Here is an 18069-nt window from a genome sequence, read left to right as displayed (position 1 = left end):
AATAAATTAAAACTATTGGCAGCATGGGTTTCTTATGGCTGTATTTTATAGCTCTGGTTAGCAAGTTTGTGTGTGCGTGTGTGTGTGTCTGTATGAGTGTTTGAGACAGGGTCTTGCTCTGTCACCCAGGCTGGAGTGCAGTGGTGTGATTGAGGCTCAATGCAGCGTCGCCCTCCCAGGCTCAAGTGATCCTCCCACCTCAGCCTCTCGAGTAGCTGGGATTACAGGCATACGCCACTATGCCTGGCTAATGTTTTAATATTTTTGTAGAGACGGGGTCTCACTGTGTTGCTCAGGCTGGTTTCCAACTCTTGGGCTCAAGTGATCCTCTCGCCTCAGCCTCCCAAAGTGCTGGGATTATAGGCGTGAGCCACTGTGCCTGGCCTGGTTAGCAAGTTTGACTTTAGAGTCAATGAAGTAACATCCCAATGGAAGCATGCTTTCATTTAACAATGAAGATAGATATGGCAAGAACCATAATTTCTGTCAAGGGGATTTAAAGTTAAGGTAGCCATTGAAAAAGCTGTTTTCCTTCACTATCTTTCTCTTTTTGAGTTTCTCATCCTTTAATGCGCTATTGTCATTAAATAGCCTTATGTTCTCCCTGAAGGAGGAGGTGAAGGTGGAGGTTTGTCTGCAGTGGACCTCTAGGTGTGCCCTGCCCAGCACCAGAGAAATCATAGGGCAGGCCTTAGGGCATTTGAGTGACTCCTGGAGCCCCAAGGATTTAATGTATTTGAGAATTCGTTTGACTTGAGAATTTGACAAGGACCGAGTAAGTTAAGATAGGGTGAATTGTGCACCACTACAACTGTTAAAATGATCTAATCGCTTAGGAGTTCATTTATACATACTAAAGTCTGAAAAACTGTAGACTTTGGTTTATATTGTATTCACGATAAGTGGTCACAAAAAATGAATTATTTTGTAATTGCATTTGTGTGTATACGTGTGTGTGTTATTTCTGGTAGTTTTTTGAGGGTACCATAAACCATAAATGTAGTTGTTTAAAAAAGTATTAGGGATAGGAAGCCCCTGGATCTTTTTGCTGGCCTTCTACTTAAAATTATTTGTCCTACTTTCATAAGGAATAGATAATTTCTCTTTAGTTACTATTGTGATGTCCAATTAATTTAGCATAGAGAATTAAAGATTATAATTTTCAAGTCTTGATACAGTTTGGAAGGAAAATGGATTTGGGAGAGTTAGGGCTACAGTTTTACCAGCTACAGCTGATAAAAGCTTTTTGTAGTAGAGTATTTGCTCTTAGAATATTTAGCCCAAATGTTTCCTTCTGAAAGTGGGCCGTGTTTATTTGTCTTCACTTCCCTAGAGATATTTTCATTTTATTGGTGAAATTGAATGTGTGCTGTTTTCTTCCTGAAGAGCCTGAGACCTTCTTCTAAAGGTATTGAATGGTGGTAAAGTATTTGGTAGTAACTACATTATCTCCAGTGAGTTAAATTCTTAGTTTCTTGTACTCTATTATAGATACTGATATTGAGTGTTTTGTTTTGTTTTTTCCTTCGCTTTAGAAGATGCATATGCTGATAAGGAAATATTTTTAATTTTACCAAAAGGGATCAGGCAGACAAAATTATTTTTCCTAAGGTGCAGTAAGATTGTAAGCGCTATACTTTCCTATTTCTATAGGATGTCTGAAAATTCCAGAAACATAGGGAGATTTTTATTTTAAACAGTGTTAGTTTTCATTTTCTTTTCTTTTCTTTCTTTCTTTTTGTTTTTGAGGTGGAGTCTTGCTCTGTTGCCCAGGCTGGAGTACAGTGGCATGATCTCTGCTCACTGCAACCTCTGCCTCCCGGGTTCAAGTGATTCTCCTGCCTCAGCCTCCTGAGTAGCTGGGATTACAGGCATGTGCCACCACACCCCACTAATTTTTGTATTTTTTTTTTTTTTTCGAGACGGAGTCTCACTCTTGTCGCCCAGGCTGGAGTGCAGTAGTGCGATTTCAGCTCACTGCAAGCTCCGCCTCCCAGGTTCATGCCTCCTGGGTTCATGCCATTCTCCTGCCTCAGCCTCCCGAGTAGCTGGGACTACAGGCACCCACTGCCACGCCTGGCTAATTTTTTATATTTTTAGTAGAGATGGGGTTTTAACGTGTTAGCCAGGGTGGTCTCAATCTCCTGACCTTGTGATCTGCCCGCCTTGGCCTCCCAAAGTACTGGGATTACAGGCGTGAGCCACCAGGCCTGACCTAATTTTTGTATTTTTAATAGAGATGGGGTTTCACAATATTGGCCAGACTGGTCTTGAACTCCTTACCTCAGGTGATCCACCCGCCTTGGCCTCCCAAAGTGCTGGGATTACAGGTGTGAGCCATTGTGCCCGGCCTAGTTTTCATTTTCAAATAGCATGCTCAATACGTTTTTCTTCAAGCTCCAGACACTTTTGCGAGCAAAAGTACATAATTTTAAAGCCATGGATCCAATTATTAATGTGGAAAGGTAATTATGTTTTAAAAAATAAATTTTAAAGTATTTTTCCCATGGTTTTACTCTTTTCAGATACCTTACTTGTCAACAGAAGGCTCTTTGAAGCTACTACTAAGAGGTAGTAAGTAAGTCTCCACACCAAAGAGAAGGTGGGAAGGCACCCCCAACCATCTGGTTGCATGAGTCAAATTAGGCATCACTGTTGATGCACCCTTCATATCTAAAACAGTTTTAAATTCAGTTGACTTCAAGTCTTTTGGCTCCATCATCTCTGTTTCTACTGGGACTGTGACTTGTGGCCTGGACAACAAGTGCCGTGACTTCCTAACTAGCTTCCCTGAATCCTTTCAGATGCTCCCACGTGCAGATCCATTCTCCAGCTTCATTCAGCGTGAGCTTTTAAAATGCAAATCTAATTATGTCACATACTCATACTTAAAAAATTTCCTATGGCTCCCAAGACTGCAAGTACAGATAAAATCCTTAACATGGCCTAGAAAGCCCTCTGTGATCCGGGTTCTGCTGACCTCGCAGCCTCTTCTACCCTTGCTCTCTGGGCTCCAGCCTCTGTGGGCTAAGTAGTCCAGATTCTGACAAGTGCTTGCTTTTGATACAGACTTTTGATATTTTGTTGTTCCTCCCAGCTGGGACTCACTTTTCTTCTCTTATTGCCCAGTTGACTTCTCATTCTTTGATTTCAGCTTAAGTGTCGCTTCTCTGACTGCTTCTGTTCCCCGATTATTGACTCAGTTACCTTGTGTTCTTCTGCATTCCAGCACTTGCCACAGCGGCATGCTAATGTTTGCACGAATATCTGATTGTGTTGTGTCTCCTGCAGTGGACTGTAAGCTCCATGAGAGCAGGGGCCAGGTCTGCTTGCTCACAGTTGTGTCTCTCATGTCTAGCATGGTGCTAGGCGCATGGTCAAAGCCGAGTGAATAGTTGTTGAACAAAAGAATGACTGGGATTAAGGACCTATTCAACATTCATAGTTGAGTATATATGTAATACGTATAACCCTGTGGATGTTAGTAAGTAATGTGGTTTGCAGTGAGTTGTGTCTGTTTTACTGGGGGGGATGTGGACTGTATCCCAGTGAAAGAAGGATTTCCTGTAGACTCTGATAGGACCCTAGAAATCATTTATTTTAGTTCTTCCATTTTATAGATGAAGAAACAAACAACCAGAGGACCAAAATGATCTAGCTGGGTAGGTAATTATGTCAAGATAAATTTGTGTCTGACATCCAAGCCAGAGATTTTCCTACTCTTCCTTAATGTTCCTTTGAAACACTGTCAGGAGTACATGTTCATTTAATCCATTTAATCTCCGCTTGCCCAAGGTATGGGTTAAAAAGGGAAGGCTGAAATTCTTCAGGTGAAGGTGATTATTTTGTTTTTTGACACTGCTAGTTTTGCCTGTGACTAGCCTTATGAAGTTATTAATAAAAATATCCCCCATCCCTTTTTAAGATATGAGCATCCAGTAATTTCATTTCCTGGTATAACAGTATTGCCAAATAATTAATAAAATTTTATTGTCTACTCCATATGACTAAGTAGTGAAAAACAGACTTAACAAGTTTGAACTGTCATACACAGTGTGTTTTTTACCAGTTGTTGATAAGAAAAGTAGGTCATCAATATAGAAAGAATGTTTAGAAACATATTCAAGGATTTTTTTTTTTTTTTTTTTTTTTTTTTTTTTGCGACAGAGTCTCGTTCTATTGCCAAGCTGGAGTGCAGTGGCGATCTTGGCTCACTGCAACCTCCGACTTCCGGGTTCAAGCGATTCTCCTGCCTCAGCCTCCCGAGTAGCTGGGATTACAGGCGCGTGCCACCACGCCTGGCCAATTTTTGCATTTTTAGTAGAGACGGGGTTTCACCGTGTTAGCCAGGATGGTCTCATTTCCTGACCTTGTGATCCACCCGCCTCGGCCTCCCAAAGTGCTGGGATTACAGGTGTGAGCCACCCCGCCCGGCCTCAAGGATTAATTTTTAAGTGAGATTGCTAGGTCACTCATGTCTATAAAAGTTTTGCGGTTGGTGTGAGACCTCTTGGGATTAATTTGGCTCTTTGAGTTGTGTTCTGCTCTTTGAAGAGAGACACAGAATTAAGCTTCTGAGTCTGGTCTCCTGTGGTGCACTTTAGGGAGATGGCTGCTGCCAGTGTTGTGAGTATGCGGGGGGGAGGGGGGGAGGGAGGAGGCGGGTCAGGTAGCGCCTGCCTTTGTCTTCCCAAGGGACGTTTCTTCAGCAATGCTTTTTCAAAGCTCCAGGGACCAAAAGAGGTGGTTGTGTTTATAAAGATGCTGGTGATAAGCAGAAAATTGGGAGATGTGGAGGGTTGTAAACATGTCATCCTTGCACATTATCTCTGTAATAGAAATATATATTTCTGTCATTGAAGAGCTAGAGATGATTTCGAAGTCCTTATATATTCTCACATTTTAGTAACTGCAAAATTTCTGTAGTGTCATTTCTATTATATTTTAAGTGAGTTACAGGCCTCATTATGGCATCTTTTAGTTCATAAAAGGGTCTCTCTTTAATAAGATGTGAGGGAATTACAGTTTTGTTTTGTTTTGTTTTGTTTTTTTAAGAGACACAGTTTCGCTTTGTCTTTTGGTATCAAGTTCAGTGGTGCAATAATAGCTCAGTGCAGCCTCAGACTCCTGGGCTCAAGGGATCTTCCTGCTTCAGCCTCCCAAAGTGCTGGGATTACTGGTATGAACCACCACACCCAGCCCAGTTTTAGGAATTTTATCTTTTGTCTTCAGGTTCATTATGTGTTACTGTTTTGCTGCTCATTTTACTTCTTGTCAGACTTGATTTTCGGCAGTCATTTTCATAGCGTCACATTACGCTCTGCAATGCGCTCACTGCTTTCTGCTTCACATTGCCAGTGAGTGCTTAGGTTTGACTTTAGGTGGTCCCCAACCAAGTCTCTTTGTAAGAAGTTCCTAAAATGAGTATAGATTATAAAATGTAAATATACGAGTGCTCTTCTTTGAAAACTTTAAAAAGTATGATACCTCTTTATTATACCTCACCTTTTATTTTTATTTTTATTTTTTTTGGGTATCACTGTGTCCCCCAGGCTGGAGTGCAGTGTCGTGATCTTGGCTTACTGCAACCTCTGCCTCCTGGGCTCAAGCAATCCTCCTGCCCTCAGCCTCCTGAGTAGCTGGGACCACAGGCATGCGCCATCATGCCCGGCTAATTTTTTGTATTTTTGGTAGAGATGGAGTTTTGCCATGTTGCCCAGGCTGGTCTCCAACTCCTGAGCTCAGCCTCCCAAAGTGCTGGGAATACAGGTGTGAACCACCGCACCTGTAATGTCTCACCTTTTAGATACTATCCTTGGGGTGTGTGTGTGTGTTTCTAGTGTTTTATGCATGCTCTTTCAGGTTGTTCCTCTTTTTTTTTTTTTTTTTTGAGACTGACTCTCGCTCTGTTGCCAGGCTGCAGGCTGGAGGAGTGCAGTGGCGCGATCTTGGCTCACTGCAACATCTGCCTCCCGGGTTCAAGCAATTCTCCTGCCTCAGCCTCCCGAGTAGCTGGGACTACAGTTGTGCGCCACCACGCCCTGCTAATTTTTGTATTTTTAGTAGAGATGGGGTTTCACTATGTTGGCCAGGATGGTTTCAATCCCTTGACTTCGTGATCCGCCCACCTCGGCCTCCCAAAGTGCTGGGATTATAGGTGTGAGCCACTGTGCCCGGCCCAGGTTGTTCTTTTCTTGGACAACTGAGCACATAGTCCTCTGGCTAAGCTAAGGATTTTCAGTGAGAAGTAAGATTTGCTTCCTTGGTCATAACAGATACCCTCTTGTTTGTCTCAGTACATTTGAATGCCTACAGCTGGTTTCTGTATTTTGATTTTTCCATTTTTACTCATATTTATAAAGTGTAGGCAAAGTGCAGTTTCACATTTAAAGTGTTACACAAACTGGCCAACTGGACTGGGGGCTGTCAAAGCAGCACCCACAGGACAGAGCTCTAAGTGCCATTGTTGGCTGATGTGGAGAAACTGAATTGTATATATGATTCGGGATTGATTGTTGGAAAAGTATGACAGTTCATGGGCTGAAAAGTTGGAACTGCTCCGTACTTTGTAGTTCAAGGTCACTGCATCTTTCTCAGAAGTTCTTTATCTTTGGAGGAGTTATACGTCTTCAGGCTGAAACGTGACGGGCCTGGAATTGATGAGCTTTGGAACTCTCTCCAGGCCTAGCTCTGTGAGGCCCGAGCCTGGAGGCTTCTTGGTAGATCTTATTTGCATTTTCTCTTTATTCTTAGAAACTTTAAAAACTAAATGATATTGAGTTATTGAATTGAAACAAAATGCATTTTTACTGGTATGCCTCATTCTTGGCATCTTACCTGTTACCTGGATTAATAATGATGGGATGAAACTATTTGGAAGGCTATGTAATACATGTGAATTTTTTTCCCTTAATTTTTACCATTCCTGGTGTTATAATCAATTGAACCAACATCAAGGCTATTCATACTTGCAGTCAGTCGGCCATGCTAAGTGGTCAATAGTTTTTCTAGAAAAAACATTTTTTTCAACAAGTCCATATCAGCAGTGGAATACAAATCTCTTTCAGCCAAAACTGCTGTGTATGAGGAGATCTGTTGTGTATCTGACATTTTGCTGTGCTTTATAGCAAATGTTGCATGTGGTCTTTTTTCTTCCTCTTTTAAAAACAGCTTCTATTAAAATAGGTAAGGCATGTTTTTTTTTCTTGGAATGTCTCATGTATGAATCTGTTAAAGAGTTGCATGCAGTAGAAATATGCAATTCGTTAGGTAAATTCTTTCTTTGAGTGTCACTGCTGGATTTAATTTAGAAAATTTGAAAAAGCTCAGCTATCTCATATTCGGAAATGATGATTTTTTTTTTTTTTTTTTTTTAAAGAGACATGATCTTGCTAGAGTGCAGTGGCATGATCATAGCATACTGCAGCCTCAAACTCCTGGGCTCAAGCAGTCTTCCTGCATCAGCCTTCTTAGAGACAGTGCCTCATTATGTTATCCAGGCTGGTCTTGAACCCCTGGCCTTAAGCTATCTTCCCACCTCAGCCTCCCAAAATGCTGAGATTGCAGGCGTGAGCCAACGTGCCCGGCCAAATTTTTATATTTAATCAGAGTACCTCCTATATTTGCTTTGGGTGTCTGCTCTCTCGTGAATGTGTATTCTATGTAGGCTTATATATTATTACATTTCCCACTTCCTTTTTTTTTTTTTTTTTTTTTTGAGACAGTTTCGCTTGTTGTTCAGGCTGGGGTGTAGTGGCACAATCCTGGCTCACTGCAACCTCCACCTCCTGGGTTCAAGCAATTCTCGTGCCTCAGCCTCCTGAGTAGCTGGGATTACAGGCACCTGCAACCACGCCCACCTGATTTTTTGTATTTTACTAGAGATGGAGTTTCACCATGTTGGCCAGGCTGGTCTCGAATTCCTGAGTTCGGGCAATCCACCTGTCTCAGTTGCCTAAAGTGCTAGGATTTACAGGTGTGAGCCGCCCTGCCCGGCCTCCATCTTCTTAAAAGGAATTTTTTACTGTTGGCATTGTCATTTAAATAACTGAGTTTAGGATATTTGTCTCCTCATCTGCTGTCTTACCTGCCTTTTTCTATTGAATAACACATCGGATCTCTTCTACATTAAAGTACCTGCCATACAGGTAACAGTGGCTTGGAGGAAACATGGTCTTTCCTCTAATGGGACATTTTAGAGTCTTGTGGTTGCCACTGGCTGAGGGAGCATTCTCTGCCCACTGAACGCTTGAGTAATCGACGCCCTGGAATGGTCTCAGCAAATGGGCTGAGCAGGATTTTGCTACTAGTAGGGGTTTTCCTGTATGTGTTCCTAGCAGGATGTGTTTCCTTTCATATGAACCATAGAAGTACATCTGCTGGAATCTTTAAACAGATAGCTTTTCAATAAACAGGAAAAATGTCAAAATTGTCATTTTTTATGAGATGGAAGTAGAATAGAGAAAATGTAACATTTACTCAGGTGTTTTGAGTGTATTTTATTTGGTGCTGTTGCAATATAAATACCCTGTCTTGTCTGCATTTTTTCCTCCTAACACCCTACATGTTTCCTATGTAGCTTATAAGATAAGTTTTTTTTTTTTTTTTTGAGACGGAGTTTTGCTCTGTCACTCAAGCTGGAGTGCAGTGACGCGATCTCGGTTCACTGCAACCTCTGCCTCCCGAGTTCAAGCAATTCTCCTACCTTAGCCTCCCGAATAGCTGGGATTACAGGCATGTACCACCAAGCCCAGCTAATTTTTGTATTTTTAGTAGACATGGGGTTTTGCCATGTTGGCCAGTCTGGTCTCGAACTCCTGACCTCAGGCGATCCACTTGTCTTGGCCTCCCAAAGTGCTGGGATTACAGGCGTGAGCCACCATGCCCGGCCCTTTTCTTTCTTTTGTATTTTGTGTTTTGAGACATGGTCTTGCTCTGATACCCAGGCTGGAGTGCAGTGGCATGATCATGGCCCACTGCAGCCTTGATTTCCTGGGTTCAAGCAGTCCTCCCACCTCAGCTCCCCGAGTAGCTGGGACCGCAGGGGTATACTACAACATCACACCCAGCTAATTTTTTTTTATTTTTTGTAGATATGGGGTCTCGCTATGTTGCCTGGGCTGGTCTCGAACTCCTGGACTCTAGTCATCCTCCTGCCTTGTCCTCCCAGAATGCTGGGAGTACAACTATGAACCACTGTGCCTGGCATGTAAATTTTGTACATTTAACTTCACATGGTAGTATTATAAGAAGCATGCCTTTACACTCTCCTAGAGGTTGAGGATTATCACCTGACTAATAAGATGAAGGTTTTATTGCAAGAGTACAAATTTTCTCTGACACATAAAGCCTTTAAACCATAGAGGTAGACCTTATTTTTACTTGTTCTTGGTTAAAATATTCACCCAACATGTAAGAAAAATTTTAGGCCAGGCGCGGTGGCTCACACCTGTAATCCCAGCATTTTGGAAGGCTGAGGCAGGCGGATCATGAGGTGAAGAGATCGAGACCATCTTGGCCAACATGGCGAAACCCCATCTCTACTAAAAATACAAAAATTAGCAGGGTGTGGTGGCACACACCTGTTGTCCCAGCTACTCGGGAGGCTGAGGCAGGAGAATCGTTGAACCTGGGAGGTGGAGGTTGCAGTGAGCCGAGATTGTGCCACTGCACTCCAGCCTGGTGACAGAGCGAGACTCTGTCTCAAAAAAAAAGAAAAAAAAAAAGAAAAATTTTAACTTTTTTGTTTCCTTAGATGTTAAGTATTATGAATATTAGTTATCAGCTTTTACATTTTATTTGAAGATAAAAAGAGGAGTGTGTTATCTCCTTATTAAAAATTTATTATGACAGTTGCTGGATAGTCAAAACCTGTCCCGTAATCCATTTTTTTTCTTTTTAAAGTGAAAACAAGTTTATTAAGAAAGTAAAGGAATAAAAGAATGATTACTCCATAGGCAGAGCAGCCCGTAATCCTCCTTTTTGGCCTTCAGTATCACCTGGAAAACTTGGTGAGGGAGACAACTGTCCATGTTTCTAAGATAGAGGTTTCAACCAACGCCCAGAGAGAGCATCTCATAGTTGAGCCTGTGTTCTCAACCTATTCCTGCATTGTCTCAAAGGTGTATCAATTTTTATTATAATAAAAACCATTCTAGAATAGTTGCTGTTGTATTGGAAAATAGGAGGAGAGTGATAAATTACATCTTAAAAAGACAAGTAAGGTTTGTATTTCCCATGTTTTGTAGAGGTTAAAAACTCTGTTGCATTATCTCCCATTGAAAGTAAGTTTATTTTGAAACTTGTAAATATTCCTTTGATTTGCTTAGTGAATAACTTACTGCTACATCGTCTTCCTCTTTATTACTGAGATGATCTTACTGTTGCAAGCAAGGGAAAGCCTATGCAGTTTTAAGAACTTGTACTTGAAAGACCTAATGAGCAAGCAGTTTTTCCAAAGTTGAACCACTCTCTGACAGGACATTTAAAATCATACCTAGTATTTCCTTGGAATTTGTGCCTATTGTGTTAGTTCAGGATTTTTTCATTTACTCTTTTTTTTTCTTTTTTGAGAAAATTAGATCCCTTTATAAAATGCTTTAGTTTTAGGGGGACATTTTAGTCATCTAATTTATGATTTGATCAGTTTGGGACAATATAGCTGATAACAGAACTCCTAAGTTTGGTGATATGCCATCTTAATTTAAAGGTTAAAACTGAACAGTTTTTAAAGTGGTAAAACACTAATACCATTTGACAATGCAGACAGCTCTCTTAAGAAGAGGAAGTTTTTGTGTTTGGGATAGTTCCCAATTTTTCCTTTGTTTGCAGAGAAATTAAACTGCAGAAATACCGTGCTGAAATGGGAGAACATAAAATTCTGTAAAGAGTCCTTGATAAGTGGTGCCGGTTCTTTTATATGAAAATTCTACTTTTAGCCCATAATCAGTAGGGACTTGCTTAGGTTTTCTCCCTGGATAGGGAAAAGCTATTACTGGGCTCTTAAATAATAATTGCCAACATTTGTTAGACAGTATGTACTATGCTTCAGATTCTATGCTGAGTACTTTATAGTTTTTTTAAAAAAACAGTTTGGAGATATAATTCACATACTAGACAATTCACTCATTTAAAGTGTACAGTTCAGCGGTTTATAGTATATATATATAATCAAATAATCTGCAACCATCAACACAGTCAATTTTAGAACATTTTCATTACCTTAAAAGAAACACACCAGGCATGGTGGCTAATGCCTATAATCCAAGCAGTTTGGAAGGCTGAGATGGAAATATTCCTTAAAGCCAGCAATTAGTTAGAGACCAGCCTGGGCAACATGGTTAGACCCCCATCTCTACCAAAAAAAAAATTAGCCTGGTGTGGTGGCGTACGCTTGTGGTCCCAGCTACTTGGGAGGCTGAGGTGGGAGGATTGCTCGAGCTCAGGAGTTTCAGGCTGCAATGAGCTATGATTGAACCACTACACTGAGTGCAGAGTGAGACTCTGTCTCTAAAAAAATAATAAATAGACCGAGCACGGTGGCTCACGCCCGTAATCCCAGCACTTTGGGAGGCCAAGGTGGGCAGATCACCTGAGGTCAGGAGTTTGAGACCAGCTTGACCAACATGGTGAAACCCTGTCTCTACTAAAAATACAGAAATTAGCTGGGCGTGGTGGCAGGCGCCTGTAATCCCAGCTACTTGGGAGGCTGAGGCAGGAGAATTGCTTGAACCTGGGAGGCAGAGGTTGCAGTGAGCCGAGTTTGAGCCATTGCACTCCAGCCTGGGCAACAGAGCAAGACTCCATCTCAGAAAAAAAAAAAAAAACTCTAAGCAACCATGAATCTACTTTCTGTCTCTCTAGATTTGCCTATTCTGGACTTTCATATAAATTAGTATGTCGATTTTTGTGACTGGTTTCTTTCATTTATAATGTTTTTAAGATTCATCCAAGTTGTAGCATGTATTAGTACTTCATTCCTTTTTATTGCTGAATAATATTCTGTTGTACAGGTAATATCACATTTTGTTTATCCATTGGATACAATGGATAGTCTGTATTTGGGTTGCTTCTACCCTTTGGCTCTTGTAAATAATGCTTCCATGAAGACTCATGTACAAGTATTTGTTTGACTACCTGTTTTCAGTTCTTATGAGTGTATACCTAGGAGTGGATTGCTGGGTCTTATGATAATGCTTTGTTTAATTGTTTGAGGAACTTTCAGACTTTTCCACATCAGCTGCAACATTTTGCATTCCCACCAGGAGTGTATGAGGGTTCTGATTTGTCTATATTCTCATCAACCCTTGTTACTCTCAGAATTTTTTATTTTAGCCATCCTAGTGGGTATGGAATAGTCTCTCATTGTGGTTTTGATTTTCATTTCTCCATTGATTAATGATGTCCAGCAACTTTTCATGTGTATTGGACATTTGTACATCTTCTTTGGAAAATGTCTATTCAAGTCCCTTTGATTCATTTTTAAATTGGACTATGTTTTTATTATTGAATTGTAGGAGTTCTTTTTATACTCTAGATACAAGTGTCTTATCAGATATAAAGTTTGCAAAAGTTTTCTCCCATTCTATGAGTTGTCTTCGATTTCTTGATAGTGTCCTTTGAGGCATAAAGTTTATAAATTTTGATGGAATCCAGTTTTTCTAATTTTTCTTTTGTTGCTTGTGCTTTTGGTGTCATATCTTAGAATCCTTTGCCCAGTCCAAGGCTGTGAAGATTTACTCCTATGTTTTCTTCTCAGAGTTTTATAGTTTTAGCTCTTATGTCTAGGTCTTTGATCTATTTTGAGTTAGCTATTTTACGTATTGTCCCAGTACCATCTGTTGAGAAGAGTTTTTCCACTGAATTGTCTTGGCACTCTTGTTGAAAATCAGTTGACCAAAGATGTATGAGTTTACTTCTGGACTTTAATTATATTCCATTGATATAAATGTCTGTCCTTATTCCAGTACCACACAGTCTTGATTACTGTTGCTTTGTAGTGAGGTAAGTTTTGAAATCAGGAAATAGGAGTCTTCCTAACTTTTTCTCTTTTTTCTCCCCAGGGTCATTTGGGTATTTTTGGATCCCTTGCAGTTCCAATCAATCCCTTCATCCATTTCTACAAAGAATTCTTCTGGGAGTCTGATAGGGATTGCATTAAATCTATATCTTAGTTTGGGGAATATTGCCATCTCAATGCTAAGTCTTCTGATTTTTGAATGTGGAATTTCTTTTCATTCATTTGTGTCTTTAATTTCTTTCAACAGTATTTTGAGTTTTCAGAGTATGAGTCTTTCATCTCCTTGATTAAGTTTATTTCTAAGTATTTTATTTCTGATGTATTGTGAGTGGAATTGTTTTCTTAATTTCACTTTTGGATTGTTTGTTATGATTTTATAAAAATACGGCTAGGCATGGTAGCTCACACCTGTAATCCCAGCACTTTGTGAGGCCAAGACAGGAGGATCACCTGCGGTCAAGAGTTCGAGACCAGTCTGACCAACATAGTGAAACCCTGTCTCTGCTAAAAATACAAAAATTAGCTGGGTGCAGTGTAGTCCCGGCTACTCGGGAGGCTGAGACAGGAGAATCGCTTGAACCCCGGAGGCGGAGGTTGCAGTGAGCCAAGATTGCACCACTGCGCTCCACCCTGGGTGACAGAGCAAGACTCCATCTTAAAAAAAAAAATGATTTTTATATATTAATCTTGTATCCTGCAACCTTACTGAACTTACTGGTTCTTTTAGTGGATTCCTCGGGATTTTCTGTATATAAGATCATGTCTTCAGCACACAGAAATAGTTTTACTTCTTTCTTTCCAATCTGAATGTCTCTTACTCCTTTTTCTTGCCTAATTGCCTTGGCTAGAACCTGTACTACAATCCTGAATAGAAGTGGCAAGGGTGGACAAGCTCATCTTATTCTTGATCTCAGGGAGAAGGCATCTTTCGCCATTGAATATTGAGTTAGCTGTGGTATTTTCATGGATGCCCATTATCAGGTTGAGGAAATTCCCTTCTATTCCTAGTTTCTTGAGTGTTTTATCATGAAAGAGTATTTAATTTTGTCAAATGCTTTTTTTTTGTTTTTTTTGTTTTTTTTTGATTCAGAGTCTCACTCTGTTGCCCAGACTGGAGTGCAGTGGCACTGTCTCGGCTTACTGCAACTGCTATCTCCCGGGTTCAAGCAATTCTCCTGCCTCTGCCTCCCGAGTAGCTGGGATTACAGGTGCCCACCACCATGCCTGGCTAACTTCTGTATTTTTAGTAGAGATGGGGTTTCACCATGTTGTGCAAGCTGGTCTTGAACTCCTGACCTCAAGTGATCCCCCTGCCTCAGCCTCCCAAAGTGTTGGGATTACAGGCATGAGCCACCATGCCCAGCCTCAAATGCTTTTTCTGTGTCTGAGATAATTGTGTGATTTTTTTTTCTTCTATTGATATAATGTGTTACGTTAATTGATTTTCAGATGTTGACCCAACCTCGCATTCCTAGGATAAATCCCACTTGATTGTGGTGTATAATTCTAATTCTTTTTCTGTGTTGCTTGATTTCGTTTGCTGGTATTGTTGAGGATTTTTTGCATCTGTATTCATAAGAGATATTGGTCTGTAATTTTCTTGAGATGTCTTTGTTTGGTTTTGGTATCAGGATAATACTGGCCTCATACAATTAGTTTGAAAGTGTTCCCTTCTTCTCTATCTTTGGAAAATTTTGTGAGTACTTGGTATTTTTTAAATGTTTGATAGACTTTAGCAGTGAAGTCATCTGGGTCTGGGCTTTCTTGTCTGTGGTTGGTTTACATTCTTTTTTTTTTTTTTTTTTTTTTTGAGACAGGGTCTTGCTCTGTCACCTAGGCTGGAGTGCAGTGGCGTGATCTCGGCTCACTGCGACCTCTGCCTCCCAGGTTCAAGCAATTCTTATGCCTCAGCCTCCCTAGTAGCTGGGACTCCTGGCTAAGTTTTGTATTTTTAGTAGAGACTGGGTTTCACCATGTTGCCTAAGCTGGTCTCGAACTCCTGACTTCAAGTGATCTGCCTTCCTCGGCCTCCCAAAGTGTGGGGATTACAGGCGTGAGCCACCATGCCCGGCCTACATTCTTATTACAGGTATCATTCCCTTCATTTTGTGAATGGGAAACTGAGGCTCAGAGAGGTTAAGTAATTTGCTAATATGTTGCAGAGCTCAGATTTGAATCCAAATTATCTTATGTCAGTTACTAGGATGACAATAGTAGCTAGTATTTATTGAGTGATTAATTTTGTGTATTTAACCATACAAGGTACTATTATAGCATAAGAATCTCCTGCCACCATCCCATCACCAATTGATCATTTAATGATCACTTCAACTTTATATGCATTGTACCCATTTTTGGATAGAGAATTTTACACTTAATGGAGACTTAGTGACTTGCTGTACTGTACCACGGCCAGGAAGTAAATAGTACAGCTGTGCTTCTCACTTACGAGGCTGTCTGACTCTGGAGTTTGCTCTCTTAATTGCTATACTCTATTGTGTGCCTGGAGGGCCTGAGACATTCTGTGCAAGAAAAGCGGCTATGCCACATGTACACAGGTGAGCCCAGATCAGATTTGACCTTGGAAGTGAATGGGCTCACACTGCCCTTCAAGCTCCGCTTAGAGATGCCTGACTCAGCACAGCACTGCGGAAGCACTGGCTTTTCTTACTGTCTCTGCCCTGTAGCTAACATTCTACTCTGTGATTGTAGCAAAAGAACTTCTATATCATTCTATCCACATGTATTTAGGATGAAAATAAGTATGCATAATATGGAAATAACTTTTTTTTTTTTTTGAGATGGAATCTTGCTATGTCGCCCAGGCTGGAGTGCAGTGGTGCGATCTTGGCTCACTGAAGCCTCCGCCTACCAGGTTCAAGCAATTCTCTTCCCTCAGCCTCCCGAGTAGCTGGGATTACAGATGCCTGCCGCCACACCCGGCTAATTTTTGTATTTTTAGTAGAGATGGGGTTTCACCATGTTGGCCAGGATGATCTTGATCGCCTGACCTCGTGATCCGTCTCAGCTTCCCAAAGTGCTGGGATTACAGGTGTGAGCCACTGCGCCTGGTGGAAATCACTTTTTAAGGTAGTTTAGTATGTATGTCAGCCAGAAGATTTGTATAGTATCTTTCAATGAAGACAAAGCATTTTACATATTTATATTAATCTTCCTATTTTTATGAGGTTAGATGGTATCTGGCCTATTTGAGTGAAGAGGAAAAATCGTCTCTCTTTTTCAAGTGAGAGGCCTTCCTCAAATATCCATTCACATTTAAAAGTGAGGTTCTAAAAGCTGACCTTATGCCTGTGTGAGTGGAGGGGCACATTGAATGGTGGACCTCACTGAGGGCAGTGATGTCTGATCTCTTGTGGGGTAAGGCAGGTGGTATCTTGGGAGCCAGGAGGAACAAGGGGCTGGAGGCCCCACTGTATAGAACCAGGCTGTCAGTGAGGCATCTGTTCACACCTGTGCTGGGTGTCATCCAGGCCCATAGTCAGGCCTCTCCTGGCTTCTGCTGGGGAGAGGGCAGGCCAGTACCCTGGTTGTGCAGCCCTGGGATCTGGGTGTCCAGCTGCTCCTAATTCAGGCTTTCAGTCATTTTCTCTGTAGTCCCTCTCCCACATCCCTGTCTTTGGAGACACACAGTTTCTCCTTGGAGTGTTCTGGGGATTCACAGTGGGCCTTGATGTCCTTTTTGTGCGCTCCTCCTGAGACTCAGCTGAGTAGAGGACACTCACACTTCAGTCAGTTACACGTGCATGACAGCTTTCCATCTTCGAAAGTTTATTGTCACATTTGCTCTCTTGTAGCCTCTTTTCCAGTCCTCTTGTCCTTTCATGTTTTTACCTGCTTTTATTTTTTGCTTTCATTTTATTAGGATTTTAGGAAGGAGTGGAGATAAGTGCTGTTTGTGTTTCTTTTGTAAATTCTTCATATCCTTTGTCTAATTTTCTGTTGGGTTTTAATTGTATGAATTTGTAAGAACGTTTTATTTATGAAGGATGTTAACTCTGACATGGTGCAATCCTTTTTTCTTCTACATTAGCTTACTTTTGAAACACTTGCTTGAAGATGCTGGTAGGGATTGCAGCTTCTATAACTTGTACAGATGGTTGCAGATGGTTGTGTGGGGAAGTGGAGCCCAAGACCAGCTGGCTGTACGTTGGCTTTTGTATAGATGTGCTTTCCTTTTGCTTTTCACCACCTCATGGAAGCTGTCTTATCTAACTCACGCTTGAGAAGTATTCATATTGATTCCAAAATGAAGGACCCTGGCCACGAATCATTTGCCATCTCCTCTACCAAAGACTCAAAATGTATGGCCCTGGTAGTCAGCTGGGAAAGTCTGGCAATAACAGCTGGGCTAAGGAACGTGGATGCTCAATTGCCTGCCAAGGGTCTCTTACTTCAGCCCGGCTACATGCCCCCAGCATTGGAGAGAGGCCACTTTCACACATGCGTTGGAAGGGTAAGAGACTCTGGCAAAAATAAATTCGTCTCTCTGCATTTAGCAGTGGGCTCAGGGCCATGAGGAAGGGAATTAGAGGAAAGGAATTAGCAACAGCCCACCATGTGTCTCGTCTGGCATGAGTGGACAGGTGTTAGCTCTCCTCTGTATATGAGGATCTGATTTTCAGCTGAGTTGTCGATGTTGAACCATGTTCCATTTCCACTTAGATTTTTATCCAGGCTCCTTCTATCTAACCAACATGAACAGAATGTCCTGCAGTAGCACATAGGAAAATTACATTGGGTGCAGTCTAGGAAATCTTAATCAGGGAGGGCCTGGTGATCTGAAAGCACAAAGCTTTCAGTGTCTATCAGATGATTTAGTCGAATTTGGAGTCTGAAATGACACATAAGACAGCCTAGGAACCTAGCTCTGTGTCACCTCCCCTCCCCTTCAGAGTCCCTGGTTTACTAGGGAAGTGGCTGTGGTGGATGATCAGCTCAGTGAAAACCCAGCCTGGTTTTGTTTCCCCCCGACAATAGCCCCTGCATTTTTCCTTTCCTAGGTCCCAACTGTTACTGCTGTATCACTCCAG

At 41.4% G+C, this 18069-nt stretch overlaps 1 protein-coding gene across 3 annotated transcripts in view, besides 4 other annotated features; it reads left to right on the top strand.

Moving 5' to 3' along the window:
- Window positions 1-18069, top strand: part of CORO1C (coronin 1C) — an 86410-nt gene that overhangs the window by 11231 nt on the left and 57110 nt on the right. The window contains exon 1 of one of the 3 annotated variants that reach the window (NM_001105237.2): window positions 17290-17492. The exons of the other annotated variants lie outside the window; for them this stretch is intronic. Coding sequence (NP_001098707.1) covers window positions 17339-17492 — 154 coding nt within the window. The 5' untranslated portion in view covers window positions 17290-17338. Of the gene's footprint in view, window positions 1-17289; window positions 17493-18069 lie in introns of those variants that run through there. 3 annotated transcript variants of the gene reach the window in all.
- Window positions 3850-4539: an enhancer, noted in NCBI's record as "NANOG-H3K27ac hESC enhancer chr12:109109525-109110214 (GRCh37/hg19 assembly coordinates)". NCBI's record gives its function as "activates a minimal SCP1, AML or CMV promoter by ChIP-STARR-seq in primed H9 embryonic stem cells {active_cell/tissue: H9 hESC(primed)}" and the evidence as "EXISTENCE:reporter gene assay evidence [ECO:0000049][PMID:30033119]".
- Window positions 4540-5230: an enhancer, noted in NCBI's record as "NANOG-H3K27ac-H3K4me1 hESC enhancer chr12:109108834-109109524 (GRCh37/hg19 assembly coordinates)". NCBI's record gives its function as "activates a minimal SCP1, AML or CMV promoter by ChIP-STARR-seq in primed H9 embryonic stem cells {active_cell/tissue: H9 hESC(primed)}" and the evidence as "EXISTENCE:reporter gene assay evidence [ECO:0000049][PMID:30033119]".
- Window positions 5231-5921: an enhancer, noted in NCBI's record as "H3K27ac-H3K4me1 hESC enhancer chr12:109108143-109108833 (GRCh37/hg19 assembly coordinates)". NCBI's record gives its function as "activates a minimal SCP1, AML or CMV promoter by ChIP-STARR-seq in naive and primed H9 embryonic stem cells {active_cell/tissue: H9 hESC(naive and primed)}" and the evidence as "EXISTENCE:reporter gene assay evidence [ECO:0000049][PMID:30033119]".
- Window positions 7622-7681: an enhancer, noted in NCBI's record as "active region_6977". NCBI's record gives its function as "activates an Ori minimal core promoter by ATAC-STARR-seq in GM12878 lymphoblastoid cells {active_cell/tissue: GM12878}" and the evidence as "EXISTENCE:reporter gene assay evidence [ECO:0000049][PMID:35858748]".

The sequence above is a fragment of the Homo sapiens genome, chromosome 12, assembly GCF_000001405.40.
Source record: "Homo sapiens chromosome 12, GRCh38.p14 Primary Assembly".
NCBI classification, from domain to species: Eukaryota; Metazoa; Chordata; class Mammalia; order Primates; family Hominidae; genus Homo; species Homo sapiens.
This window is presented reverse-complemented; position numbering and strand designations above follow the sequence as displayed.